This window comes from Homo sapiens, chromosome 7 (assembly GCF_000001405.40).
Source record: "Homo sapiens chromosome 7, GRCh38.p14 Primary Assembly".
NCBI classification, from domain to species: domain Eukaryota; kingdom Metazoa; phylum Chordata; class Mammalia; order Primates; family Hominidae; genus Homo; species Homo sapiens.
In genome coordinates this window covers 73,698,259-73,723,514 of record NC_000007.14, presented here as the reverse complement: position 1 = coordinate 73,723,514, position 25,256 = coordinate 73,698,259, and the positions used below count along the sequence as shown (strand labels likewise).

General features: G+C 58.0%; 1 protein-coding gene, 1 long non-coding RNA gene and 1 other non-coding gene across 6 annotated transcripts, besides 10 other annotated features; 1 reads left to right on the top strand and 2 right to left on the bottom strand.

Moving 5' to 3' along the window:
• Positions 3,731–3,930: a silencer, noted in NCBI's record as "silent region_18264". NCBI's record gives its function as "represses an Ori minimal core promoter by ATAC-STARR-seq in GM12878 lymphoblastoid cells {active_cell/tissue: GM12878}" and the evidence as "EXISTENCE:reporter gene assay evidence [ECO:0000049][PMID:35858748]".
• On the top strand, positions 3,846–24,305 carry STX1A (syntaxin 1A). 4 transcript variants are annotated; one of them, NM_001165903.2, is made up of 10 exons: positions 3,846–3,913; positions 14,393–14,470; positions 14,827–14,926; positions 18,291–18,365; positions 19,092–19,165; positions 19,259–19,367; positions 19,687–19,760; positions 20,533–20,670; positions 22,721–22,785; positions 23,031–24,305. In NM_001165903.2, exons 1-10 carry the CDS (start codon positions 3,884–3,886, stop codon positions 23,041–23,043), a joined length of 756 nt encoding a protein of 251 aa, NP_001159375.1. In that variant the 5' UTR covers positions 3,846–3,883; the 3' UTR covers positions 23,044–24,305. The 4 variants fall into 4 exon arrangements, with proteins under 4 accessions (NP_001159375.1, NP_004594.1, XP_047276734.1 ...); NM_004603.4 differs by having other exon boundaries at positions 22,675–22,785; XM_047420778.1 differs by lacking the exon at positions 23,031–24,305 and having other exon boundaries at positions 22,584–22,785.
• Positions 3,991–4,190: a silencer, noted in NCBI's record as "silent region_18263". NCBI's record gives its function as "represses an Ori minimal core promoter by ATAC-STARR-seq in GM12878 lymphoblastoid cells {active_cell/tissue: GM12878}" and the evidence as "EXISTENCE:reporter gene assay evidence [ECO:0000049][PMID:35858748]".
• Positions 4,201–4,260: a silencer, noted in NCBI's record as "silent region_18262". NCBI's record gives its function as "represses an Ori minimal core promoter by ATAC-STARR-seq in GM12878 lymphoblastoid cells {active_cell/tissue: GM12878}" and the evidence as "EXISTENCE:reporter gene assay evidence [ECO:0000049][PMID:35858748]".
• Positions 4,371–4,450: a silencer, noted in NCBI's record as "silent region_18261". NCBI's record gives its function as "represses an Ori minimal core promoter by ATAC-STARR-seq in GM12878 lymphoblastoid cells {active_cell/tissue: GM12878}" and the evidence as "EXISTENCE:reporter gene assay evidence [ECO:0000049][PMID:35858748]".
• Positions 7,537–8,068: an enhancer, noted in NCBI's record as "H3K4me1 hESC enhancer chr7:73129777-73130308 (GRCh37/hg19 assembly coordinates)". NCBI's record gives its function as "activates a minimal SCP1, AML or CMV promoter by ChIP-STARR-seq in naive H9 embryonic stem cells {active_cell/tissue: H9 hESC(naive)}" and the evidence as "EXISTENCE:reporter gene assay evidence [ECO:0000049][PMID:30033119]".
• MIR4284 (microRNA 4284) lies at positions 12,118–12,198 on the bottom strand. Its single transcript, NR_036247.1, has one exon. It is a non-coding gene; the product is annotated as a microRNA 4284 (primary transcript).
• Positions 15,616–16,368: an enhancer, noted in NCBI's record as "H3K4me1 hESC enhancer chr7:73121477-73122229 (GRCh37/hg19 assembly coordinates)". NCBI's record gives its function as "activates a minimal SCP1, AML or CMV promoter by ChIP-STARR-seq in naive H9 embryonic stem cells {active_cell/tissue: H9 hESC(naive)}" and the evidence as "EXISTENCE:reporter gene assay evidence [ECO:0000049][PMID:30033119]".
• Positions 15,616–16,424: a biological region, named in NCBI's record as "H3K4me1 hESC enhancer GRCh37_chr7:73121477-73122229".
• Positions 16,215–16,424: a silencer, noted in NCBI's record as "fragment chr7:73121421-73121630 (GRCh37/hg19 assembly coordinates)". NCBI's record gives its function as "represses an EF-1alpha promoter that drives an FKBP-Casp9 reporter gene in an ReSE screen in K562 erythroleukemia cells {active_cell/tissue: K562}" and the evidence as "EXISTENCE:reporter gene assay evidence [ECO:0000049][PMID:32094911]".
• On the bottom strand, positions 18,327–20,425 carry LOC105375350 (uncharacterized). The gene is made up of 2 exons (XR_927656.3): positions 19,990–20,425; positions 18,327–18,683 (listed from the first exon to the last, which is right to left on the bottom strand). It is a non-coding gene; the product is annotated as an uncharacterized LOC105375350 (long non-coding RNA).
• Positions 19,544–19,673: a silencer, noted in NCBI's record as "silent region_18260". NCBI's record gives its function as "represses an Ori minimal core promoter by ATAC-STARR-seq in GM12878 lymphoblastoid cells {active_cell/tissue: GM12878}" and the evidence as "EXISTENCE:reporter gene assay evidence [ECO:0000049][PMID:35858748]".
• Positions 23,639–24,140: an enhancer, noted in NCBI's record as "H3K4me1 hESC enhancer chr7:73113705-73114206 (GRCh37/hg19 assembly coordinates)". NCBI's record gives its function as "activates a minimal SCP1, AML or CMV promoter by ChIP-STARR-seq in primed H9 embryonic stem cells {active_cell/tissue: H9 hESC(primed)}" and the evidence as "EXISTENCE:reporter gene assay evidence [ECO:0000049][PMID:30033119]".

Genomic DNA, 25,256 nt, shown 5'->3' with positions numbered 1-25,256 from the left:
TTTTTTGTATTTTTGGTAGAGACAGGGTTTCACCATGTTAGCCAGGATGGTCTCGATCTCCTGACCTCGTGATCCGCCCACCTCAGCCTCCCAAAGTGCTGGGATTACAGGCATAAGCCACCATGCCCGGCCAATACTTTTTAAATGAAGGAATGAAGCCTGGGTATGGTAGCTCATGCCTGCAATCCCAGAAATTTGGGAGGCCGAGGTGGGTGGATCACCTGAGGTTAGGAATTCGAGACCAGCCTGGCCAAGGTGGAGAAACTCCATCTCTACTAAAAATACAAAAAATTAGCCAGGTGTGGTGGCACATGCCTGTAATCTCAGCTATCTGGGAGGCTGAGGCAGGAGAATTGCTTGAACCCGGGAGGCGGAAGTTGCAGTGAGCCAAGATTGTGCCATTTTACTCCAGCCTGGATGACAAGAGTGAAACTCGGTCTCTAAATAAATAAAGGAATGATAATCTGGCCCTCGATGGGCTTCCCTTTTCTGCACAATAGTTTAGCATCCAAGGCCTCCCCCTTCCTTGGGCTCATCCCCCACCTATGTCCACCCAAGTGCCACAGCAGGCTCCTGAGGTGCTCCCGGTAGAGTGCTCCATTTTAGAGAGCTCCCCACCCCCACCCCTGCCCCAGCATCCTTCCTTTGTCCACTCCCTGCTGCAATCCCACTGCAACACCCTGTTCGAATGTCACCACCTCTGGGAAGCCACCCTGGTTCCCTCACCTACCAAAACCATGTCTGTCTCCCCCACTGCAGTGGGAACATCTTGAGTGCAGAACAGTGGCCCCAGAGCATGGTTTCCCATTTAATGTTTGATGAATGAATGAATGATTAAATGAGGAAAAGACTTAGCAGAAAAACAGAGTTTAAAGAGAAGGGCAAGCCCGGGTGCAGTGCCTCACACCTGTAATCCCAGCACTTTGGGAGGCCAAGGCGGGTAGATCATTTGAGGTCAGGAGTTCAAGACCAGCCTGGCCAACATGGTGACGCCCCATCTCTACTACAAATACAAAAATTAGCTGGGCGTGGTGGCGGGTGCCTGTAATCCCAGCTGCTCAAGAAGCTGAGGCAGGAAAATCACTTGAACATGGGAGGTGGAGGTTGTAGTGAGCCTGGATTGCACCACTGCACTGCAGCCTGGGTGACAGAAAGAGACTCAGCCTTAAAAAAACAAACAAACAAAAAAAAGAAGTGAAAGGCACACTTTTTTTTTTTTTTTAAGAGATGGAGTCCAGGCTGGTCTTAAACTCCTGGCCTCAAGCAATCCTCCCTCCTGGGCCTCCCAAAGTGCTGGATTACAGGCATGAGCCACTGTGCCTGGCCACATTTATTTCTTTATTCATTTTTCATGCTACTATTTAATATGCGTCTCAATGAGTGATGCTTGGTGTGACACCAGGGCTCTCAGAGGGCAGGAGCTGAGCCTCCCTTTCCTGCCCTCTCCCTAAGGGGCCAGACACTGGGCTCTGGGGGCATACCTGTGACCCACCCCACTGACTCACCCTGCAGGCTAGACCAGGAGTCAGGCAGACTCCCCTGTCACTTGTCATCTCTGGGCAAGTTCCTCTAGCACTTACCTCCTTACTTTTCCTCTGTGAAGTGGGGCGCCATCAATGCCCATTCTGCAGGGCACCCAAAGTTGAAGCCGGGACAACTGGAACAGGGTGTGGCTGTTCCCTCTGCCAGGCCACATCGGACCGTCTTGGGCCAGATTTTCCAGGGAAGAAGGGAAAGCTGGAACAGTGTCCCTAGCTTGCCTGGCAGCCAGCTAACCTGTGCCCATAGTCTGGGAGAGGTGCCAGGCCCAGACACACTGGGCAGCAGGGGGCTGGATTGGCTCCAGAGCTCCAATGCTTTGGCAGTCCTGGGGAAGGGAAGGGATGTGCTTGGCTTCAGGTCAAGAGGGTGTGGGCCACAGAAGTGACAGCTGGGGGTGGTGGAGGGCACAGCGGGCTTATGGGGGTGTGTGCGAGACCACTGTTGCAACAAGATGCTGGCAGGGACCTTCAAAAGAACATCTGCTGTTGACTGGCCTCCCCACTCCCACTCCTCCACAGGTTTTCCCATGAGTCCTAGAGGAAGCCAGGCCCCAGGCTTCTAGATAGAAAATAGAACCTACATTGGCCAAGTGTAATCCCAGTGCTTTGGAAGCCCAAGCCAGGAGGATCGCTTGAGGCTAGGACTTTGAGACCAGCCTGGGCAACATGAGGAGACCCCGTCTTTACAAAAACGAAAAAAGAGAAAATAGAACCTCAGGCCTAGAGCCAGAGTTCAGGATTGGGGATGCAGGGAAAGGAGGAGAGGGGGGCCATAACTCAAATCTCTTTCCCAAAGATAGAGTAGTTCCTGGCTGGGTGCAGTGGCTCACACCTGTAATCCCAGCACTTTGGGAGGCTGAGGCAGGCAGATCACTTGAGGTCAGGAGTTCGAAACCAGCCTGGACAACATGGTGAAACCCCTTCTCTACTAAAAATACAAAAAAATTAGCCAGGCGTGGTTGTGGGTGCCTGTAATCTCAAGCTACTTGGGAGGCTGAGGCAGGAGAATTGCTTGAACTCGGGAGGTGGAGGTTGCAGTGAGCCAAGATCGTGCTACTGCACTCCAGACTGGGCAACAGAGTGAGACTCCGTCTCAAAAAAAAAAAAAAAAAATAGGCCGGGCACGGTGGCTCACGCCTATAAGCCCAGCACTTTGGGAGGCCGAGGCGGGAGAATCAAGAGGTCAAGAGTTTGAGACCAGCCTGCTCAACATGGTGAAACCCTGTCTCTACTAAAAAATACAAAAAATTAGCCGGGCGTGGTGGTGGGCACCTGTAATCCCAGCTACTTGGGAGGATGAGGCAGGAGACTCGCTTGAACCCAGGAGGCAGAGCTGAGATAGCGCCACTGCACTCCAGCCTGGGCGACAAGAGTGAAACTCCATCTCATAAATAAATAATCAAACAAACAAACAAACATAAAAAGATAGAGGAGTTCCTTCATCCTGCAGGAAAAAGGGGTGGGTCACGCAGCATCAGAGCTGTGAACTGAGAAATCCTAGGGAAAGAAGAGGCCAGTGCCTGAGTCCCTACTGGATGATGGGAGCAAGGGGGAAGGGTGGAGGCTCCCAGACTGGAACTCTCCAGGAGGTTTTTGGCTGGGGAACAGAAGGGAGAGCAGGAGGTCCCAAGGTAATGAAATGAAGGAGGGAGTTACAACCTTCAGCAAATTCTGGGGAAGTGAAGGGATCTGAGGATGAGGACCGGATTCTGGGACAGGGATGCTGAGCTGCTAAGTCGGGAAGAGGCTGGAAGCCAGGCACGGTGGCTCACGCCTGTAATCGCAGAGCTTTGGGAGGAGGGAGGATCGCTTGAGGACAGGAGTTCAAGACCAGCCTGAGTAACATAGCAAGACCCTGTCTCTACAAAATATTTGAAAATTATTCAGGAGTAGTGGCGAGCAACTCTAGTCCCAGCCACCCAGGAGACTGAGGCGGGAGGATTGCCTGAGCTCAGGAGCTCAAGGCTGCAGTGAGCTATGATTGCACCACAGCACTCCAGCCTGGGCGACAGAGCGAGACCCTGTCTCCAAAAATAATAAATAAAAAACGAGACAGGGCTGGGGCAGAGGAGGCAGCAGGGTCTCTGGGGACCCATCCCCGGGAGCGATCACGCGTGCGGAACGTCCAGGACGAGACCCCAGGGCTTCGATCCCCACGGGGCTGCTCGTGCGGGGTGGGGCGGGGTCTGGGCGGGGTCTGGGCGGGGCCCGGGCGGGGTGGGGCGGGGCCGGGGTCCCGGGGGCCGGGGCGGGGCCGGGCTGGCGCTGCGCAGCCGCGGGGCGGCCGTCGCGCATGCGGGGCTCACACGGCTGCAGCCGGCGCCGCTGCCACTCCCGGGAGCATGAAGGACCGAACCCAGGAGCTCCGCACGGTGAGTCCGGCCCCAGCGCGCGGCCGCCCGCCGCCCGCCGCCAGCGCCAACGCGCCGGACACTTCCCGCCCGGCTCCCGCGGCCAGGATGGTGGCCGCTCCTGCGCCCCCAGCCAGGGCTGAAGGGAGCGGGGCGAGCCAGGGACCTCGACCCCCCTCCGGGTTCCGCCCCTCGGACCCACTCGGGGTCAGGCTCGCGTGAGCTCGGCCGCGCTGACACGTGGACGGTCGGCTGGAGTCCGGGGTCCTGGATAAACTTTTCGGGGCCCTCTTGATTTGGGGGGTTCGGAGGGTATGATGGGGTTTTGGTGGCGGGACCTCTTCCCCCTCCCGCAGAGCAGGCCCTTTCTCTGGCCCCCTCACTGCCCCTCATCTCTGACCTCCCGTGCCCCCTCGGTGTAGACAGACGAGGGGACCGCGGTGGGAACCTCCTTGGTGTAGACAGACGAGGGGACCGCGGTGGGCCGGTGCCGGTCCCCTGCGCGGGGCCCCGCTGCGGGGCGCGCTGCGGAAACCTGATCGTCGGGTGGTGGCGGCCTCCTCGGGCCACCCTGGTCACCTGTGGCTCCCATCACCTGTGGCTCCCCCTCTGCTTGGTCGCAGTAGGGATCCACTGCCCGCCCCAGGTATGGGGGGGGGGGCGTCACACCCGCCCCCGGTCCACCTATCCACCTTCGGGCTTTCGGGCAGCACTGGCTGGCGTTTCCAGACCCTTCAGGGTTCCTTGCGACTTGGATCTATTTTTCTACCTGTATCTGGGAAACCCCTGGGGTGTGGCTCCTGGGGCGGGGTTTGGGGGGAGTAGGAGGATGCACAAACGTTCTGAGTCAGAGCCCACCTTCTCCCAGCCCAGAGACCCCTGCAGCCTGCGTGGGTCCCCTTCCCCTGGCCTCTGCCCTTAGGGATGAGGAGCCCAGGAGGATGGTGACCGGGAGTGGAGGACAGCGACGGAAATGAAGCCTCTCTGGGTGTGTCGGGGAGGGGGGGTGGATCAAGGCTCAAGACTAGATTGAGTCTCATCTGGTCATCTGGTCCCCTGGCTGGCCACCTGGCTGGCAGCCCTGCCTGCTGATCCCTGGGAGCACCCCCCACCCCGCTCCCTGGGCTAGGAACTAGAACCCTAAGGTCCCCTCCTATGGAAAATGTCAAGTGTCCTTTGGGCATTTGACCCCACGGCTTGTCTTCTCCACCCAGAGGCTCCCTGAGTTGGAGCCTGTCTGCCCCATTATGTCATGGTTGCCTCCTGGGCATCCTGGAGCCGGGACCTGGGCTCCCCTGCCTTCATGTCCCCCACTTGCTCTGGCACCACGGCCTCCACTTTGCCTCCAGACCTGTTATTCCTGGCCGAGCGCCCAGCCCCTGGTGTAAACCCCATGAGGTTTCAAAGGAAGAAGATGGTCCCTCAAGTCGCATATGGGCTCTAAACACTTCCCCCGCGGCCCCTGTGGTTGCCCTCAAGTTTCCTGAGCTCCGTTGAGTCAGAATGAGTGTTTTCCTGGTGACGGATGGCTGTGTGGTGTAATGTGCTGATGTTTAGGCGCCTGGTAGGTTACCTGAGGGTGTGTGTGGGAACCAAGTGGTCAGGGGAACCATGGGCCCCTACATAGGATAATAGCCTCTGGCATGTCAGCCTTCATCCCCCTAGCTGAAGGGGAAACTGAGGCACAAAAGAAACACGGCTTGCCTGCTAGAGGGAGGGGTGGTAGAAAAGGGCTTTGCCTCATCCCTGAAGATAGTCAGACTCAGGCCTGGCTGACACTGGGGGACAGCCAGTGGAGCTGGGGTTGTGAAGCGTTTGAACCCAGATCTTTTTGCTCTGATGTCTGTCTCTGTTACTACCTCCTCGCCCCCTGATTAGATGGTGAAGCCAGGCTTTGCTTTGAATGGTCTGAGGCTTCCGCTCCAGACACCCCCACCCTCCCCACACAAGGCATTCAGAGCCCAGGGAGGCTGTACCCATTGCTGGGTGGCCCTGCCCAGGGAGGGCTTTCTAGCAGACAGGTGGACGGCTGGCAGGCAGGAGCCCACCCGGGGTGGGGTGAGACAGTCAGTCTTGGTGGGGCCACTGTTCCCACAGGCTGCTTTCCCTCTGGACCTAGGGTTCCCATCTGTGAAGTGGGGATGGGAAAGCCTAGAATTCAGTTTCTCGGGACGAGAAGCAGGGCTACAGGTCTCCTGACTCCAGCTCCACATTTGTAGGAGGCCTGAAGCCCCAGGAGTCAGAATTTTCAGCCCAGAATCCCCAGAAAGGAAGAGGCCAGCACTGGCTGAGCTGGACTGGGCTGGACTGGGCTGGACTGGGGCGGGCTGGGCTGGGCTGGGCTGAACAGAGATGGTGCTGGGGACAGCGGCTGTGCACCGCTCCCAGCCCTCCCTCCCTCCCTCTTCCTCCTCCTCCTCCCTCTTCTTTCTCCTTCTCCCCCACCCAACACCACCACATTTGGAAGGAGGCGAAGAGAGCTTATTTATAAAAGTCACACTTGGGGAAGGAGCTGGCGCGTTTCCTCACTCTGCAGGCCCGGCCCAGCCCTCCAGCCTTCTCCAGCCTTCTCCAGCTCCCAACTCTCCCTCTGCAGATGGGGAGTGAAGGGGGTCACTGGGGACTAGCCAGGGGGCCTCAATGCTGTCGCAGTCCCTCAGAGATCAGAAAGGCCACTTGCAGGTTACAGGTAACAAAGAGAGACCGAAGACAGGGCCAGGGTCACACAGCCAGGGAAAGACTTTTAGGTTAGAGCATCCCCAGGAGCCCCACTCAGGCTGTAGCTGCCTCCTCCCCTCAACTCAGAGACTCCCTGATTTTCTTCCTGGGGACTTTGCAGAGCTGACCTTTCTCCCTGGGCCCAGAACATGTATTTGTCTATGTGCCAGGTCATGTGGGACAGACACATGGGACCTGTTGCAGGAGGCTGAAGACGTAGCAAGGAGGGAGAGTTGGAGCAGCACAATCCTGGAAGGCTTCCTGGAAGAAGAGACCCTGGGATAGCACAGGAGCAGGAGCTGGATTTGAATAGGAGGAGAGAAGGTGATCCAAAGGAGGGGACAGCTTAGTGAAGGCAGAGAGATTGGAATGCTCAACCAGGAGAGAATAGCAGGTGGTCCTGACAGCTGGTGTCTGGGGCCCCCTGAAGTGCCTTGAGGTCTAGACTAGGGCCCAACTCACTGGAGCAGCCCAGGCAGGCCTGGATGGGAAGGCCCAGGGCCCTGCTTTGCCCATCAGTTTCCCCTTCTCTTTCGTTGCTGGGAAGAGTCTGGCGGTTGGGTGGCAACACCGGGCAGGTTCATCCTTAATCTCCCTCTGCTCATTTCCTCATCTGCAGAATGGAGCCAGTGTTACCTACTTTGCAGAGTGGCAGGCACGAGAGTGTAAGAACAGGAGCCGGACAGGGCTCGCCCGATCCTTCCTCCCATTACGTTCCAGAGGTTTCCCAGCATGAACGATGCATTTGGGTACATTTTCATCTGGGGTGCAGGTGGAACGGCCTCCCGGGACCATCTAGTTCAACCTCCTATCTTACAGATCAGAAAACAGGTCCAGAAAGGGCCAGGTGTTTATCTGAGGTCATGCAGCCTGTGGGGGCAGAGCCTGGCCCCTTCCACGGCCTGAAGCTGCCTCCCTGAGCCACTCTGGGGCCCTGTGAAGGGGCAGGCTCTGCAGGGCGGGGACCTGGTGTACACACAGCTGGAGGCTGGAGACAGGGTGAGGAGGCTCAGATTGCACAGCCGTCTTTCCTGGAGACCCAGCTTGGCCTCTCGCACACCCCTGACTCAGCTCCGGGCCTCTCTGCACTAGTGATATTGACTTTGATTAGTCATTTAAAAGAAGAAGGGAAAAAAATAGCCCTCGAGGCAGACAACAGCCACTGTGCTCAGCAGTGATGAATCAACCTTGCCAGCCTGGTGGCTTCCCCTGGGACACGCCTGGAGGCTGCCTGGCCTCTGCGCCTCTTGGAGGAGTCAGACTATTACATCCAGGAAGGTGTCCTGGAATCCTGGAGTCTCTGCTAGGAGAGACCACCAGGGCTGCCCCACCTCTGCCAGGGGAAGCTCAGGGCATCCAGCTCCCCGTGGTTCCAGCAGGGTCTGTTCTTCCTAGCAGTCTCCATGCTAGGGAGGTAAGGAGCACTCCCTCCCAGCCTTCCTGGTTGGAGGTGGTGTTTTTTGTTGGTTTTTTTTTTGTTTTTTTAGACGGAGTCTCGCACTGTCTCCAGGCTGGAGTGCAATGGTGCCATCTCAGCTCACTGCAGCCTCCACCTCCTGGGTTCAAGTGATTCTCCTTCCTCAGCCTCCTGAGTAGCTGAGACTACAGGTGTGCATCACCATGCCCGGCTAATTTTTGTATTTTTAGTAGCAACGGGGTTTCACCATGTTGGGCAGGATGGCCTCGATCTCTTGACCTCGTGATCTGCCCGCCTCGGCCTCCCAAAGTGCTGGGATTACAGGTGTAAGCCACCACACCCAGCCAATTTTTTTTTTTTTTTTAGACGGAGTCTCATTCTGTCATCCAGGCTGGAGTGCAGTGGCATAATCTTGGCTCACTGCAACCTCCACCTCCCAGGTTCAAGTGATTCTCCTGCCTCATCCTACCGAGTAGCTGGGATTACAGGCATGCACCATCACACCCGGCTAATTTTTGTATTTTTAGTAGAGATGGGGTTTTGCCATGTTGACCAGGCTGTTCTTGAACTGCTAACCTCAGGTGATCCACCCACCTTGGCCTCCCGAAGTGCTGGGATTAAGGCATGAGCCACTGCACCCGGCTACCCCTATAAATTCTGATTCAGTCTCTTTGGGGTGGATCCCTGGAAGCCGTTTTTGTTTTTTTTTTTTAACCCCCCCAAAGGATTCTGGTGCTCGCCCAGCTTTGAGAACTGCTGAATGCAGAACAAAAAAACACCAGGATGTTAGCTGGGCTTGGGGGCTCACACCTGCAGTACCAACTACTTGGGAGGCTGAGGCGGGAAGACTGCTTGAGCTCAGGAGTTTGAGACCAGCCTGAGCAACATAGTGAGACCACCATCTCTACACAAATTTAAAATTAGCCAGGTGTGGTGGCAGGCACCTGTAGTCCCAGCTACTCTGGAGGCTGAGGCTGGAGGATTGCTTGAGCCTGGGAGATCAAGGCTGCAGTGAGCTATGATCTTGCCACTGCACTCCAGTCTGGACAACAAAGCGAGATTCTGTTTCAAAAAAAAAAGAGCTGGGCGCGGTGGCTTACGCCTGTAATCCTAGCACTTTGGGAGACCGAGGCGGGTGGATCACCTGAGGTCAGGAATTCAAGACCAGCCTGGCCAACATGGTGAAACCCCGTCTCTACTAAAAATACAAAAACTAGCCGGGTGTGGTGCGGGTGCCTGTAATCCCAGCTACTCGGGAGGCTGAGGCAGGAGAATCGCTTGAACCTGGGAGGCGGAGGTTGTGGTGAGCCGAGATTGCGCCACTGCGCTCCAGCCTGGGCAACAGAGCGAGACTCTGCCTCAAAAAAAAAAAAAAAAGTGCCAGGACAAATTGGATGTTGGTTGGATGGGAGAAGAGGAGGAAGATGGCAGATGTCCTAGGTTTCTGGCTTGGGGTTCTGCGCTAGGCAGTTCAGAGGATGGGGCTCTGGCAAAACAGGTGGAGCCTGGTTTTGGCCAGGAGGCAGGCAAGGTGCCCGTATGATATCTGGGCACATCCGTCCGTAAGACACTTGGGCCTTTGAGTTTGTGCCCCACAGTTCCAGCTGCCACCTGCACAGCGAAGGGTTCCAAGTCCCCAACTCCAATCCAGCCCCCTCTCCAGAGCTGTGAATGCCACTCAGAAAGCATTGGTAGATCCCCAAGGGAGCTGGGCCCTAATTATTCCACAGAAATCTGTGTGTCCACTTTTGTTTTTTTGAGACAGGATCTTGCTCTGTCACCTAAGCTGGAGTGCAATGGCACGATCATAGCTCACTGCAGCCTCGACCTCCAGGGCTCAAGCAATCCTCCCACCTCAGCCTCCTGAGTAGCTGCAATTACAGATGCATGGCACCACGCCCAGCTAATTTTTGTAGCTTTTGATAGAGATGGGGTCTTGCTATGTTGCCCTGGCTGGTCTCAAACTCCTGGACTCAAGTAATCCTCCCACCTTGGCCTCCCAAAGTGCTGAGATTACCGGCGTGAGCCATCATGCTTGGCCACTTTATGTATACAGTGCCCGCCCTGGCCAGCCCAAGACACCAGGAAGACAGCATGCCAGGGTAGCCACATCACCTAGTTACATTTTGGTCAAGAGTGTGTCTGGGCTGGGAAACAGAGGAGGTGAGGGTGGCAGTGGGGCTCTGCCATCCCGCGTCCTTATCAGTTTATTCCGTGTCCAATGAGAACTGATTCCTTATCTGAGTGAATCTGGAGGACATCTCTAGAATGCTGCCACCAGGCTCTAGCTTGGATGTGGATGAGGGTGCAGGGGCGACAGAGCCAGGAGCCATCAGAATCCCACAAACTGAAATAAGCATCAGAACAAATGAAGAAATGAAACAGGAAGAAGGTCCTTCACTCGAACCCCAAATCCACTCCACAGACAGTGGTTGGGAAGGGCTTGGGGCTTTTCTTGACAGGAAATGCTACATGATCACTTATCTGATTCCTGGCTGTATTACTAGAGGTAGATCATATAGAAAGAGGGAGGGGATGGGCCAGATCTTTGGCATTGCCCAGACCACAGTCAGCAGCAGATTCAGTTTGTGTGCTGTATGACAGGAGACAGAGGCACAGTGGAACAACTCTTGGGCAGGGGCTGTAATTTGGGGTCCCTGGGAAGGATCTGAAAGGGAAGGAATACTTAAAAAGAAAAATCTAGGGAGGATGTGGATGCCGCCTTCAAATCTATAGCAGGGGTACCCCAGGGAGAGGGCACCCACAGGTTCTTTATGGCCTGGAACCAAACCACAGGGAAGAGAAGGACTCTAACAGTTGGGGCTGCCCGAGATGGGCAGAGCTGTCTGGGGAAGCTAGTGAGCTCACTGTCACAGGAGGTTTGCAAGCTGAGGCTGGCAGCTGAAGCCAGGGGGACTTTTCAGGTCCCTTAGGGCCTGAGAGTTTTCAGCCATGGCTCCAATAGGAATGTGAATGGCGTGTGGAAGAACAAGGTGCGAGATACTGATTTGGGGGGGCAGGGAGGCTTCTGGAAGGAGGTGGCATCGAGGAAGAAGGGAATGTCACCTTCATGGAATCAGCATCCCGGGCAAAGGGATGTGCCTGGGGGAAGTTGGGGGCAGAGGGTGGATTGTAGGGCCAGGAACCAGTTGTAGGTGTGGGGGAGTGGGGTCTGATCCCAGGGGAGGGCAGCAGGATAAAGAGCAGAGCTGGGGGTGAAAATTCCCAAGAACGAAGAAGTAGAAGGACGTGGGGAGGAAAGGCCCACTTCGCCCATCCCCTCTAGGTTTTGCTTGGAGCTGTGGCTGGTTTGACCATGCCTCAGAGGTCAGGCCCTCAGCCCCCCGACTGGCTTTGGGGCCAATCTCAATGCCACCTCCAGGGTAGACTTGACCTGCGTGCCCCCATCTACCCTGGCCCTGATCTCCCTTTCCCCAGCCCTACCCTCATAGACGGAGGGTCCAGAGGAGGATGCGGGCATCTCTCCTCCCAGCCCTTCTGTTAGAGAAGCTTCCTGGTCCAGCCTTCAGCCTTCTGGGAAGGTAGCAGGTCAGAGCTGGCCGGATGCCTGGAGAAGATCTGCCCTCATTACACAGATGGGCAAGCTGAGGTCAAGAGAGGCACCAGACAGGTGCCAGGGGTCTCTGAGGGCAGGACAGGGGTTCGGTGGGGCTGGCAGTGACGCTCGTCTCTGGCCACGGAAAAGGAGCTGGATAATTCTCCATCCACCCTTTGTCATCTACCCTGATCCTCTGAGCACCAGGGCAGAGAGGGCAGGACACTGAATGGCAGGAGCTCCTGGGGCCACTTCCCAACCTGGCAGCCTGCCCAGGAGGAGGAACTGGGCTCCTCCTGGCAGTGCTCTGCCTCAGTTTCCCTAGGGAGGGCTCCTCTGACTCAACTCCTAGGCCTGTCACGGTCTAAAAGCGTGAAAACGGCTCCTGGATTTTCTGTGTCTGTAGGGAGCTTGGTGGGGGAGGGGGTACCACCTGGTGACAGCCCCAGGCACTCGGTGGGGAGTGGGAACGAGGATTTATTTTAGCTGCTGGGGAGGTGGTACGATATCTTAAAGAGAGGAGGCCCCTCTGAGCCGCCTCTATCAAAGCTCCTAACTACCCCCTCTCCCCATGAGTCCCCACTTTGATGGGGTGATGTGAGCCCCTCACAGAACATGCTCAGGCCGGGCATGGTGGCGGCTCACACCTATACTCCCAGCACTTTGGGAAGCCAAGGTGGGAAGATCACTTGAGCCCAAGAGTTTGAGACCAGACTGGGCAACATAGTTTGACCCTGTCGCTACAAAAAAAAAAAAAAAATCAAAAAGTAGCTGGGTGTGGTGGCATGCATCTGATGCATCTGTAGTCCCAGCTGCTTGGGAGGCTGAAGTGAAAGGATGGCTTGAGCCCGGGAGGTTGAGGCTACAGGGAGTTATGATTGTGCCACTGCACTCCAGCCTGGGTGACAGAGCGAGACCCTGTCTCAATCAATCAATCAGTCCATCCATCAATCAAACAAACATACCTGCCCTGCTTCCCCACTTTTTCTCAGCCCTCCCTCCATGCAGCCAGGTGTCACTGTCCCCATTTCACAGAAGAGTAAATAGAGCCAGAGGGGTTAAGGCCCAGCCTGATGAGTCCCATCAGTTCTCTCAGCCCCTCAACCTCCACCTGCCTCCGTCCTGACGCGAGAGCACCGAGGTGGGGTCAGTGCTGAGCTAGTCAGTGGCCACTCCCGTGAGGCACTCAGAAATGAGGTGGGAACAAGATCAGATGTGGTGGTTCACGCCTGTAATCCCAGTACTTTGGGAGGCCGAGGCGGGTGGATCACCTGAGGTCAGGAGTTCGAGACCGGCCTGGCCAACATAGTGAAACCTGTCTCTACTAAAAATACAAAAATTAGCTGGGCATGGTGGCATGCACCTGTAATCCCAGCTACTCGGGAGGCTGAGGCAGGAGAATTGCTTGAACCCAGGAGGTGGAGGTTGCAGTGAGCCAAGATCACACCACTGCACTCCAGCCTAGGTGACAGTGCGAGACTCTCTCAAAAAATAAAAAAATAAAAATAAAAGAGGTGGGAACAAGCCCTGAGCCCCAGGCTGAGAGACCTCAGTCCCTGCCCCAGGGTGGCCACCCCGGATATCCTTGCCTTGGCTGCAGAGAGAGACCTGGCCTTGCCAGCAGCGTGGGCTGACCCTGGCCAACTGGCGGTATGAGGCAGACAGTAATAATTGTGCGCAGCATGCTGGGAAGTCAGAAGTATGATTACCCCTGCCCCACGATGGGGGTGGCTTTTGTACAGCTGGTCCTGGGACAGTGGAGTGGGGCTTGTAACTGTGGCTGAGGCCTAAGGCAGGACCCAAGCCAAGTGGCAACATGACTGTCCCCTTGTGCCTGCTGGGCCCAGGTCTGGGGACTGGAAGGAGGCAGACCGAGGTCCAATGGCAAGACCGACAGGGAGGCCAAGTGCAGTGGCTCACACCTACAATCCCAGTGCTTTGGAAGGCTGAGGCAGGAGGATCGCTTGAGGCCAGGAGTTCAAGACCAGCCTGGGTAACACAGTGAGACCCCCGTCTCTACAAAAATAAAAATTAAATTTAAAAACTGTTTTAAAAAAAGACTCACAGGAGATTCCTAAGAGATCTGATCCGTGCCACCTCGGGACTGGGGTTTAGTGGTGCCCAGGGCTGGGACACAGTAGGCAGGTCTCCCCTTATAGGGCCCACTCTGGAAAGGGAGCTTGGGACCTCTGGGCTCCACCTGAATTAAAACCACTGGAGCCAGGCATGGTTGTGGAAACCTATAATTCCAGCTACTCGGGATGCTGAGTTGGGAGGATCGCTTGAGCCCAGGTGTTTAAGGCTGCAGTGAGCTGTGATTGCACCCCTGCACTCCAGCCTGGGTGACACAGCAAGACCTCAACTCTACAGATGTGTGTATGTGTTTGTGTGTGTGTGTGTAAACCACAGGGCCAGGAGAGTAGAGAATGCACTTTCCAGGCAGCTGTCCTAGGGGCCTAGGGGACCCAGAGGGCCCAGACAGAGCGGCCGGCCCCAGGCTCGCTTGCCTCCCCAGCCACAGGGAGGGGGCAGGCAGATAGGTGAGGGAGGAAGTCCCTGGCCCAGAGGCTGAGACTTGGCCTTGACACCAGTGTATCAGGCAAGGTTCCTCTCTCTGTGCCGGGCCCCCAGTGGTCCTCCAGATCTTACTGTGGCTGGGAGCGGAACAGCCAGGCCTGTTCTTGTCCCTGCCCAGAGGCCCCCAGGGAGAGGGGGAGGGGCAGGGCCCTGGCGCTGTACCCTGGGCACCTGCGTGTGTACAGGTGGGTCCTGTACATACGTCCACTTATGTGTGCACAACCCCGCACAGGCCAAGGACAGCGATGATGATGATGATGTCGCTGTCACCGTGGACCGAGACCGCTTCATGGATGAGTTCTTTGAGCAGGTGGGAGCCAGCACACCCCACCCTTCCCGCACACTGGCAGAACTTGGGGGGCCACTCTCGCCTCTGAGCCAGGTTCAGTGCTCTTTCACACCTGCACCTGGCTCAGCAGCTCCGGGGTGCCAACGAATGAACCGTTTTGAGGGTGAATAGATGGAAGCTCAGAGCGGAGCTAAATCTGGGATCACACTCCTCCCCATCTGGGTCTGGAAGGATGCACCCCCACTGCACCCCAGCACCCGGAGCCTGGCCCGTCCTCCCCCTGAGCCCTGACCGCAGCCCTACTCTGGGCCATCTCTGGGCCCCAGAAGGCTTCTCCCCTGATTTCCTTCTCCTGACCACCTGGCCTTGGTCCGCAGGTGGAGGAGATTCGAGGCTTCATTGACAAGATCGCAGAGAACGTGGAGGAGGTGAAGCGGAAGCACAGTGCCATCCTGGCATCCCCCAACCCCGATGAGAGTGAGTGTGTGGGGCGGGGGACGGGTTTCAGGCCCCACAAGCCTCGGGAAGGGGCTGCTGCCAGGGAGGCCTCACGGGACCTCTGCAGCCTTCATGGCTGGTGGGCTTAGGAGTGTCTGGGCGGGCCAGGGTCGGGAGGGTTTCACGAGAAGCCTTGGGAAATGCAGCTGTCCCCGGCTTGGAACTGGGGGGTCAGTACCCAGCATCCCAGGCCGGCCAGACCAGGTCTCCATGAAAGACTTGGGTGATGGGAGAGGCGATCGGCCCCGCCCTTCCCAGGTGAACTGGCCTTTTTTTTCTTTTTTTCTTTTTTTTTTTTTTTTTTTGAGATGGAGTCTTGCTCTGTCGCCAGGCTGGAGTGCAGTGGCACAATCTCAGCTCACTGCCACCTCTGCCTTCCGGGTTCAAGCGATTCCCCTGCCTCAGCCTCCCAAGTAGCTGGGATTACAGGCACGCGCCACCATGCCCGGCTAATTTTTTGTATTTTAGTAGAGACGGGGTTTCACCATGTTGGCCAAGACAGTCTTGATCTCCTGACCTCGTGATCCACCTGCTTCAGCCTCCCAAAGTGCTGGGATTACAGGCATGAGCCACCGCGCCCAGCCGAACTGGCTTTTTTCCTTTTTTCTTTTCTTTTTTCTTTTTTTTTTTTTCAAGACGGAGTCTTGCTCTGTCACCCAGGCTGCAGTGCAGTGGTGCCATCTCGGCTCACTGCAACCTCCGCCTCCCAGGTTCAAGCAATTCTCCTACGTCAGCCTCCCAAGTAGCTGGGATTACAGGCATGCGCCACCACGCCCGGCTAATTTTTGGTATTTTTAGTAAAGATGGGGTTTCTCCATATTGGTCAGGCTGGTCTCGAACTCCCGACCTCAGGTGATCCGCCCGCCTCGGCCTCCCAAAGTGCTGGGATTACAGGCATGAGCCCCCACGCCCAGCCCCAAGAAGGTATTTTTTTTCATTTCGAACTGGCTTTTTTCTAAGGCAACTGGGCTGGCTGCAGCCCTGGGCTTCTGGGAGCGAGGGAAGGAAGGAGGGAAGGAGGAAGCTGTCTGTGATCAATAGGAAGGCCTCTCGGTCCAGCCCCGCCCCTCCCCTCGCCTCCCAGGGGAGCAGATGGCAGCTCTAAGTCGTCAGCGCTGTGGGAGGGCAAGCTGGCCAAGCAGGCAGAGCTTCCGGAAGGAGCTGGCAGCCCTGGCACCTGGCCATGTGGCACCCCGGGGCGGGCATTCTCAGGGCTCCAGGAAGTCACCCCTCTCCCTCCACACTGGGAGCCTGTGTGTCAGGCTCGCACTCTGTCCCCAGACAGGTCCCCCTGACCCGGTCCTCATGTTCCTGTTGAGATGTTGTTTACTACACTGAGAGATGCCAGGCTGATGGCATAGGTGCCCTTCCCTGGAGGGGGGCTCACCATGAGCCCCAGGGATGCAGCCATCAGGTGTTTGAGGGAGGCAAGCGCTGGCCACCCAGGTGCCCGGGGTCAGATTTTCTTCTCACCTCCAGCACGGCCTCCTGGTCTATGACCCCTCACCCCCAAGCCCACTGGCATCTTCAAGAACCCAGAGTAAATCTTTTCACAGCCCCAAAGTGTGCATGAACCCAGGTCAGTGCCACACCAACTAAGCCAGTGCCCCGCCCTCAGAAGGCAAAATGGGTCAGGTGGGAGCAGGGTGGACTGCCTCAGGAAGGGCAGGAGGGAGAGAGGGACGCCCAGGGCTCACCACGCTGAGCTCCTTGCCTGAGAGATTTGTTGGATGGCAGCATGAGACGGATGTCTGTGCGCCCAGAGGTATCTGGGTCACTGTGTGTCCCTCTGTGGGCTGTTCCTGCTCAGGGTCAGGAGGTGGCTGATTGTGGGGTGGGGACGGAGGGCTCTAAAGAGCAGGGGAGTGGGTCTCTCACTGCTGGCAGGTGGGGCGGGCATGGGGCAGCAGAGCTGTCTGCTCCACACCTTGGGCTCCTGCAGGCCACCTCCTGCACCGTCTCCTGCTGCGGTGTCATGCACAGTCATAGGGACCGGTTCTGAGTCACCACCCGTGAGCTGAGCAGTTGAGACCTGGCGGAGTCCCAGGCTCTCGCTAAGAGGAGGGGGCTCATGTTGGGGGTTCTAGGGCACAGGCGGCACAGAGTTAAGGAGAAGTCTCAAGGAAAGATGGCAATGAGTGGGGGGCTCTCCCGGGCAAGGCAGGCTCTGCCTCCTCTGGGGGCTGCCATCCGGCCTGGGCTATTTTGGGTCTGAGCAAAAGAGGCTGAGACGTCAGAGCAGCTGGTAACCGACTTTTCCTTTGTTCCTACGGATGAGGCGCCCTCCTCCGCGCCTCGGAACCCCCCCTTCCCCGCTCCACCTCACTGCATTCCACTTGGGAGGTGACCCCATCCGGGGCCTTCCTGATAGACCACTCTCAACACCCCTCCCTGTCCCCTCTAGGACAAACCCCAGCCCCAGGGGCAAGCAGAGGGGCAGGTGGGAAGGTGATAGCCAGAGCTCAGTCCCGGCTTCTCTCGGGGCAGAGTCCTGGGGGTGTCCTGAGACTGGGGTGTTGCCAGGAGCACCCCCAAGGGAGGCAGCTGTCTTGTCCCACTTTTCCATCCAGCTTCTCTCAGGCAGGGGGGCAAGCTGGGCACCCCCATGGCCTCTGCCAGCTTTAGGGAGATGGTTCTAGTTGGAACAAGGGCCACAAAACACTATGTCACCACCCTCGTCCAATTTCACCAGGGCCCCAGCTACCTGCCACGGCCAGGGCCAACTGTGCCCACCTCTTTGGACCTGAGGGCCCACATCAGCGCCCACCCAGGCCATCCACCCCTTGCCCTCTTCCGCCCGCCAGGTACTTAGCACCCAGGGAGGCGTAGCTTTGTGGGAACAGCAAGGTCTGCCCCACCCAGAGTGTTTGCGCATATGACTCAGGGAGTGTGGGGTGGTCCCCTGTCAACCCCCTGCCTGGCTGCGTACCCTCCTGAGCCACCAGGTAACACCAGGTGAGCCCACACCGCCCCCCCACCCCTTCAACTCCAGCAAGCATCAAGTCACTGTTCCCGGCGCCAACTCCAGCATCGCCAGCTGCTCCACAATTACTTCTGCCTTAAATTTAGACCCATCTGTTATCTCCAGGGGGTGGGGGCGCCAGCAAAGGAGGAAGGGAGGCTCCTCCGAAGACAGCACAAGAGGGGGTGAAGCTGCAGCTGGTGCAGCCCTGGCCCAGAATTGGGGGAGGGGGGCGGGCAGGCAGAGCCTTAGCCAGGGGAACAGGGGAGAACAGGGATCTTCCCAGAGCCTCCCACTGGGCCCCCTGGGCTGGAGGCTGAGCCTGCACATCAGTCCCCGCGGAGCCTAGGAGGCCTACCCCCACCCTTTCTACCTCCCCAGAGACGAAGGAGGAGCTGGAAGAACTCATGTCCGACATAAAGAAGACAGCAAACAAAGTTCGTTCCAAGTTAAAGAGTGAGTCAGGCTTGTCTGGGGGTGGGTGGGGGGCATTCTAGGCCTGCTTCCTCTGCGGAGCCCATGGGGTTTTGCTCGCCCTGAGGGGGTGCGCCGGATCTTGCTTTCCTTTCTGAGGGTGGCGTCATGTGCCCATTCACTCAGCAGCTACTTGGCAAGGCCCGTTGGTGCCAGACTCTGGGCTGGGCCCAGGGACACACCCACCTAAGGCTTTGGCGAGGGAGGGCTCCACTCTGGATGGGCACTGCCCCTCACCTCTGCTAAAGAGGGTTGAAGAAGTGGCCAGTACTTCCTGGTCTCTTGCAGAAGCCCGGTATTCTGGGTGAACAGACACGTGCACCCCATGAGTGCCAAGGCCTCGGGGCCACATGCCCTGCAGGAGGGGCCACCTGGCTCTCCCCGCTGTGGGCATGGTCCCTCGTACACAGCCTTTCTGAGCAGAAAAGGAGTGGTACCCAGGCATAGGGTGGCCGGAGCTACCAGACCTCACACACACGCAGAGCTTGGAGTGGGTGTGCATTTACACACATGCACACACCACACAGCGTCACAGCTGGAAGGGCTTCTGTAGGCCCCTCCTCCATCGGTGCCTGGCACTGATCCCACCAGCCACAGGCCACACACATACCCTAGGGGATGTGGGAAGGTGGATAGATGCTGGGTGTGCGGGTAGGGGACGGGGTTGAAGGGGCCTGGTTATGACTTAGCAGCCACCTGTGCCCCCAGGCATCGAGCAGTCCATCGAGCAAGAGGAAGGCCTGAACCGCTCCTCCGCTGACCTGAGGATCCGGAAGACACAGGTGCGGCCACGGAGTCTAGGATGGGCGGGCACCTGAGTCTCTGGGTCGGTCCCCGCAGGGCCTGACCCCTGCACCTCCATCTCGGGCCCCCAGCACTCCACGCTGTCCAGAAAGTTTGTGGAGGTCATGTCGGAGTACAACGCCACGCAGTCCGACTACCGCGAGCGCTGCAAAGGCCGCATCCAGAGGCAGCTGGAGATCAGTGAGCTGGGGGTGGGGCCTGGGGCGGGGCCTGGAGCCTGGAGGGGCGGGGCCCGAGTCTGCTGCTGAGTGCGTGGCTCAAGGCTGCTGCTTAGTTAGGGGCCCGAGGCGGGTGGCCCGAGGCAGCTGCTGAGTTTGGGGCTGGAGGGGCGGGGGCCTGAGGCGGCTGCTGTGTTAAGGGCCGGGGGGGCGGGGCCTGAGGCTGCCGCTGAGCTCGGGGCTGGGGGGAGCCCGGGCCTGGGACGGAGGGGGCGGGGCCCAATGCTGCTGCTGAACTCCCCGAAGAGGGCTGGGCTCAGTGTGACCCCACTCGCTTGCAGCCGGCAGGACCACGACCAGTGAGGAGCTGGAGGACATGCTGGAGAGTGGGAACCCCGCCATCTTTGCCTCTGGGGTGAGTGTAGGCCCCATCCCTCCTGCCATGACCCCCTCACCATGTTCCCTACGTCCATGACCCCTAGTGCTGGGTCTGGACAGTATTTGGACACAGACCCCTTGTAAGGCAGGTTTTAGGGAAGGAAGAGTCCCAGAGAGGGGAAAACACCAGGCTGAGGTCACATAAATGTCAGCGGCAAAGGTGGACTCAAGACCCCTGTCTCCTGATGCCTCCCAGTTGGACTCACTTTCGCCGGCGGCCAGCGGCTCCTCCTCTTATCCGTGGGCCCTTTTCCTCTCCTGGAGGACATTTGGCCATTTCTGTGTTCACGTGAAGCCGGGCAGGGGTGCTCCCTGAAGGATGTGGCACACAGGTGTTCGAGGCAGGCTTGGGGCTGTGAGTTCCAGGAGAGAGGGGAGGAGCAGTCACATTCAATGTGGGGGAAGGGACGGGAGAAAGGCAGTTCCAGGCTTGGGTCCACGGGGCAGTCAACTTCGGCTCTGCAAAATGCTGGTGATAAGGACTGTCACTGAGCACTCGCTCTGTGGCCAGCACAGGTGGAAAGTGTCACTAGCCCCACGTTACAGGTAGGAGATTGGCTTGCAGAGAAATTAGGTAACAGCTAGCATGTGGCAGAGCCAGGTAGCAAGGCGGGGAAGGCTGCGGCTTGGGAGGAAGCCTCAGGCCCCCTTCCGGAGCAGCTCTGCCCACCCCAAACGCCCTCCCCCTCGGCCCTCTGCCCTGCCCCTCAGCAAGCCTCTGGGTCCCAGCCCCCTGCTCCCACCCCCAGATCATCATGGACTCCAGCATCTCGAAGCAGGCTCTGAGCGAGATTGAGACGCGGCACAGTGAGATCATCAAGCTGGAGAACAGCATCCGTGAGCTACACGACATGTTCATGGACATGGCCATGCTCGTGGAGAGCCAGGTGAGTGCCGGGCCCCCCTGCCCTCCACTCCAGCCCACACCAGCACCCAGGGCTGCACTAACCTCGCCCTTTCTGCCCGACACGCTGCCCTGCCGGGGAGGGACCAAGTTCTCAGGTAACCAATCACCCGCTGTTGAAACTGCCGCCAGGGCCCTGCCGACCCGAAGGTCCCTGTCCTCTGCATGGCTCTGCTTGAGCTTCAAGGACCCCAGGCCCTGCATGGCCCCACCCTCTATACCCCGCCGTCTCTCATTCCCCTACTACTGTTTCCTCATGGGGCCACTGTGGGCCACGCATTTCCCCAGAGACTGAAGGCATAGCAGTGACCAGGACAGCTCAGGGACCTGCTTCCTGGAGTGAATGGCTGTTGGGCAAAAGAGTTGCCTAAGAACAAATCGAAGGTTCTCCAGTGGGGCTCAAACTTGAATGAGTCACCTGGAGGACTTGTAAGTTTCCAGGTCCCCGTCCCAGAGACTGGCAGCTGAGGTGAAGGTCCAGGAAGGTGCCTCTCTGACAAGCTCAAAGGTGGTGCCACCACCACTATGGTTCCAAAGTTACACAGAGTAACACCGTGACCACGATGGGGCGGCTGCCTTTGTTGGAGTGAGTGGTCAAGGAAGGCCTCTCAGGAGGGGACATTTGAGCTGATGCCAAAAAAGGGGGAAAAGGAGCCAGCTGTGAAGACTTCGCAGCGGAGATGAAGAGCTGGCCCCAGCAACACTAAGGTCCCAAGCCCAGCAAGACCCAGACTTATTTCAGGAACAGAAAAAGGAGGTCCTTGCTGCTGGGGCACAAGGAGTGGTCGGAGCTGAGATGAAGCTGGAGACGAGGTGGACGGGGCCTTGGCAGGCAGTGTGCTGGGGAATTTGCGGTCTCTTCTAGATTGGAGGGGGTTTGGGTTGTTTGTTTTGTTTTAGCAAAAGATGGGATCTTGCTGTGTTGCCCAGGCTGGTCTCGGAACTCCTGGGCTCAAGTGATCCTCTCACCTCAGCCTCCCAAAGTGCTGGGATCATAGATGTGAGCCACAGCACCCAGCCAGGTTGGAATGTGTTAAGTATGGGAGTGATGTGGCCTTGGTTAGGAAGTACGGAGGCCGTCAGGAGGCTGCCGCTGCCGCCATCTGGTGAGAAACAGACCATGGTGACGTGGACGCCAGTGAAGGCAACCGATGGACTTGGAGAGGGAGACACGCCCTAGGAGTCTTGTGGGGCAGTGTCATGGTCAGATTGGCCTCTGGGGGCAGCATGGGACCAGATCACAGGGCTCAAAAGGGCTGTGGGCTGGGCAGGGGGTTCTATTTTTTTTTTTTTCTTTTTCTTTTTTTGAGACGGAGTCTCACTCTGTCATCAGGCTGGAGTGCAGTGGCAGGATTTCAGTTCACTGCAACCTCTGCCTCCCAGGTTCAACCAGTTCTCCTGCCTCAGCCTCCTGAGTAGCTGAGACTACAGGTGCTCGCCACCACGCCCAGCTAATTTTTGTATTTTTAGTAGAGATGGGGTTTCACCATGTTGGCCAGGATGGTCTCGAACCTGACTTCAAGTTCTTAAAGACTGAAGACCCCAGACAGCAGACAGAGCTGGATGGAGCTGTCATGCCTGAGGATGGGGGTGTGGGCAGGCTCACCTGTGGCCACCTCAGGAGCTATGGCCAGGGCAGGACCAGACTCCAGCATACCCACTCCTGCTCCCACCTTCCTCTGCCTGGCACTGCCACATCTCTGACAGTGTTCTCTGCATGGTCCCCAACCCTCAGCTGAGACTGCATGGCCAGCTCCACCCCCAGGATTGCTGCTCTGCGGGGAAATGTGGGAGCTGCCTTGGGGAGCCTGCCTGGCCCTCTACACCCCACCCAGGGTACCTGGCCCAGGTGAGAAGCTGTACCCTAACCTCCTCACGCCCCCTTTTTGTCTCTAGCCTCAGGGTGCTTTCCTGAAGTCCTGCCCCGAGCCCCAACCCAACCCTGAGGAGGGGGCCCTCTGGAGCTCGGGTGCCCCCGGCCCCGCAGGGAGAGATGATTGACAGGATCGAGTACAATGTGGAACACGCGGTAGACTATGTGGAGAGGGCCGTGTCTGACACCAAGAAGGCCGTCAAGTACCAGAGCAAGGCGCGCCGGGTCAGTAGCCCAGCCCTGCCCAAGGCCATGCCCCAGCACCCATTAGGGACCCCCAACCATCCCACATCCCTCCCCATCCCACCTCTCTCCCTTCTCTCAGGAGCTCCCCATGACAGCCCCCTCCCAGGCCGTCACCTTCCCCTGCTTGGATCCCCCCCGACTGTCCAGTCCTCAGCCTTTGCCATAGTCCCACCCCACCTGCCGCCAACACTGTCTGAGGCCTCTCCTGCCCGCTTCCCATGCAGAAGAAAATCATGATCATCATCTGCTGTGTGATCCTGGGCATCGTCATCGCCTCCACTGTTGGGGGCATCTTCGCCTAGAAGCCACCCAAACTGCCACTCCACTCCAGGTGGGCCACTCCAAGGAGGCCCTGGCTGCTGCCACCTGGCTGGGCTGCCCTCCCAACCCCCGCCTCTGGCTCAGAGCACCCTCCCTCCCGGCCCCCATGCTCCCTTCTCTGCCATGGGCCCTCCGTCCCCGCCCCGTGTCGTGTGCATGATCTCTGTGAGTGTGCGTCTGTACGGGAAGAGGCAGAGGGAGGCAGCCAGCGGGGCGTGATGCAGTGTGCACAGCGAGGAGCAGACCCAGGCAGGGCCGCCAGGGTGACACAGGCCACCCTTCCTTGCCTTCAGTAACTCGGTGGGCCCAGGTTCTGCTCTTCCCTGGGGACCCTAACCTCGCCTCCAGCTGACCTGCCCTGTCCTCTCCAGCTGTCCCCACAAGCAGAGCCCTGAGGGGTGGGGACCAGCTGGCCACATGGTGCTGCTTTTCAGGTTAGGGGAGAGGTGGCCCTGAGGGACAGCCCAGCTCTGAGTCTCAGTCGCTGATCACTGCCAGGGAGGCTCAGGCTGCCATGGCTCCAGGCTCCCTCCCCTGCCTAGGGGCAAAGTCCATCGGGTCCTGGGCCTCAGCTTCCCTTCCCACATTCCTCCGGCCCCAGGAGCAACCCCTTGGGCTAGGTCTGACCCCAGGTGTCCCTCTGGAAGGGGCTGGCTGGTGCCCTATTTCCAGCCACCCCAGCAGCTAGGGAGGCAAAGCAGGCTGCAGTCAGTCCCTCAAGCCAGCGTTGCATGTTTGGGATGGTGGCTCCTGTTGTCTTGCGCTCTGGGAAGTCAGATGTCATTTCAGGCCTGCAGTCTCATCCTGCCCTTGCCATCCTCCCATCGATGTGCCACGTGGGTGTCACGTGTCCCAGATGCAGTATTCGGCAGCCAGCCGGGGAGGGCTACCTCCTCCTCCTCACCACCTTGGGGCTTCTCATGGGAAATGTGCCCCCGCCCCAGGACCCTCTCCCTTGTGGACAGGCAGGGAGATGCATGCGAGTGCATGCAGCAGGGGATGGGGCCGTGTCCGTGTGCCCCACCCTCCCTCGGCTTTACTCCTGCCCAGTGACTGTGACCACTGTCCGTGTTGCCTTCTTGAACAGCGATTCCCCCCAACCCCTTCACCAAAGGTCTTGGTACAACCAGCTGCCCATTTTGTGAAATTTTTATGTAGAATAAACATTTGTATCTGTACCAGGCCTCTGTTGTAGATTTCTTCCCCAGGTCTCCTGGGGGAAAACCTTAGGAGGGTTCTCACTATTGCCCAAGCTGGCCTCCCACCTCAGCCTCCCACAGAGCTGGGACCACAGGTTGTGCCTGGCCTGGCTGCTCTAGACTTCTTGCCATCTGCAGTGTCACAGTCTTAGAACCTGAGGATGAATGAATGTGGCACTAAGAGGAAGGGCTCAGAGGCGAGGATCCCAACTCAGCCTCAACCCCACCCTGGGCCTTCAACTTCCTCAGACCTGTCTCTGGCCGTGCAGTGGAAAACATCCAGGCCTTATTCCCTGAGAACAGGCCCAGAGGCCACTCTCAAGGCCTGGAATCTGACACCTGCAGGAAACCCCACTGCAGGGCTTAGATCCTCAGGCCCCAAGCCTCACCCCACTCCCAGACACCCAGCCCCTCGGGCCCCGGCACCCATTCCCTAATGTCTTAAGCTGCTGAACACCTAATCCAGCTCTGTACTGCAATGCCCAGGATCTTGCCCCTCTTCCCACATGGACCAAAAGGCTCAAGCAACCATTACACCTCCTCTCCTATCACAGCCAGCTGGACAGTCCCACACTACCCCAGAGCAGGACCTTCCCTTTCCAACCACTAGTGACGGGACAAGAGATCAGCCCAAGACATCCAAGCACTGGGCTGGTAGGCAGCTGACCGTGCAGCTCAGTGCCACAGTTCAAGCTGGGGCCGCTGGACTGGCAAGGCCTTCACAGGAAGGGAAAACGGACTGGCCAGCAGGCACCACGAACACATTTCATGTGGGCCCTCTTCCCAACTTTGCTTGGTGTGATTATGATACAGTTATATATAAGCCCTAAATTAAAGGACTCTGTGTTCCTTGCAAATGGAAAGAATGCTTTCATCTAAGTGTTTTAAATCTGATTCCTGCCTGGGGAGTCGAGCAGTAGCCCACCAGGA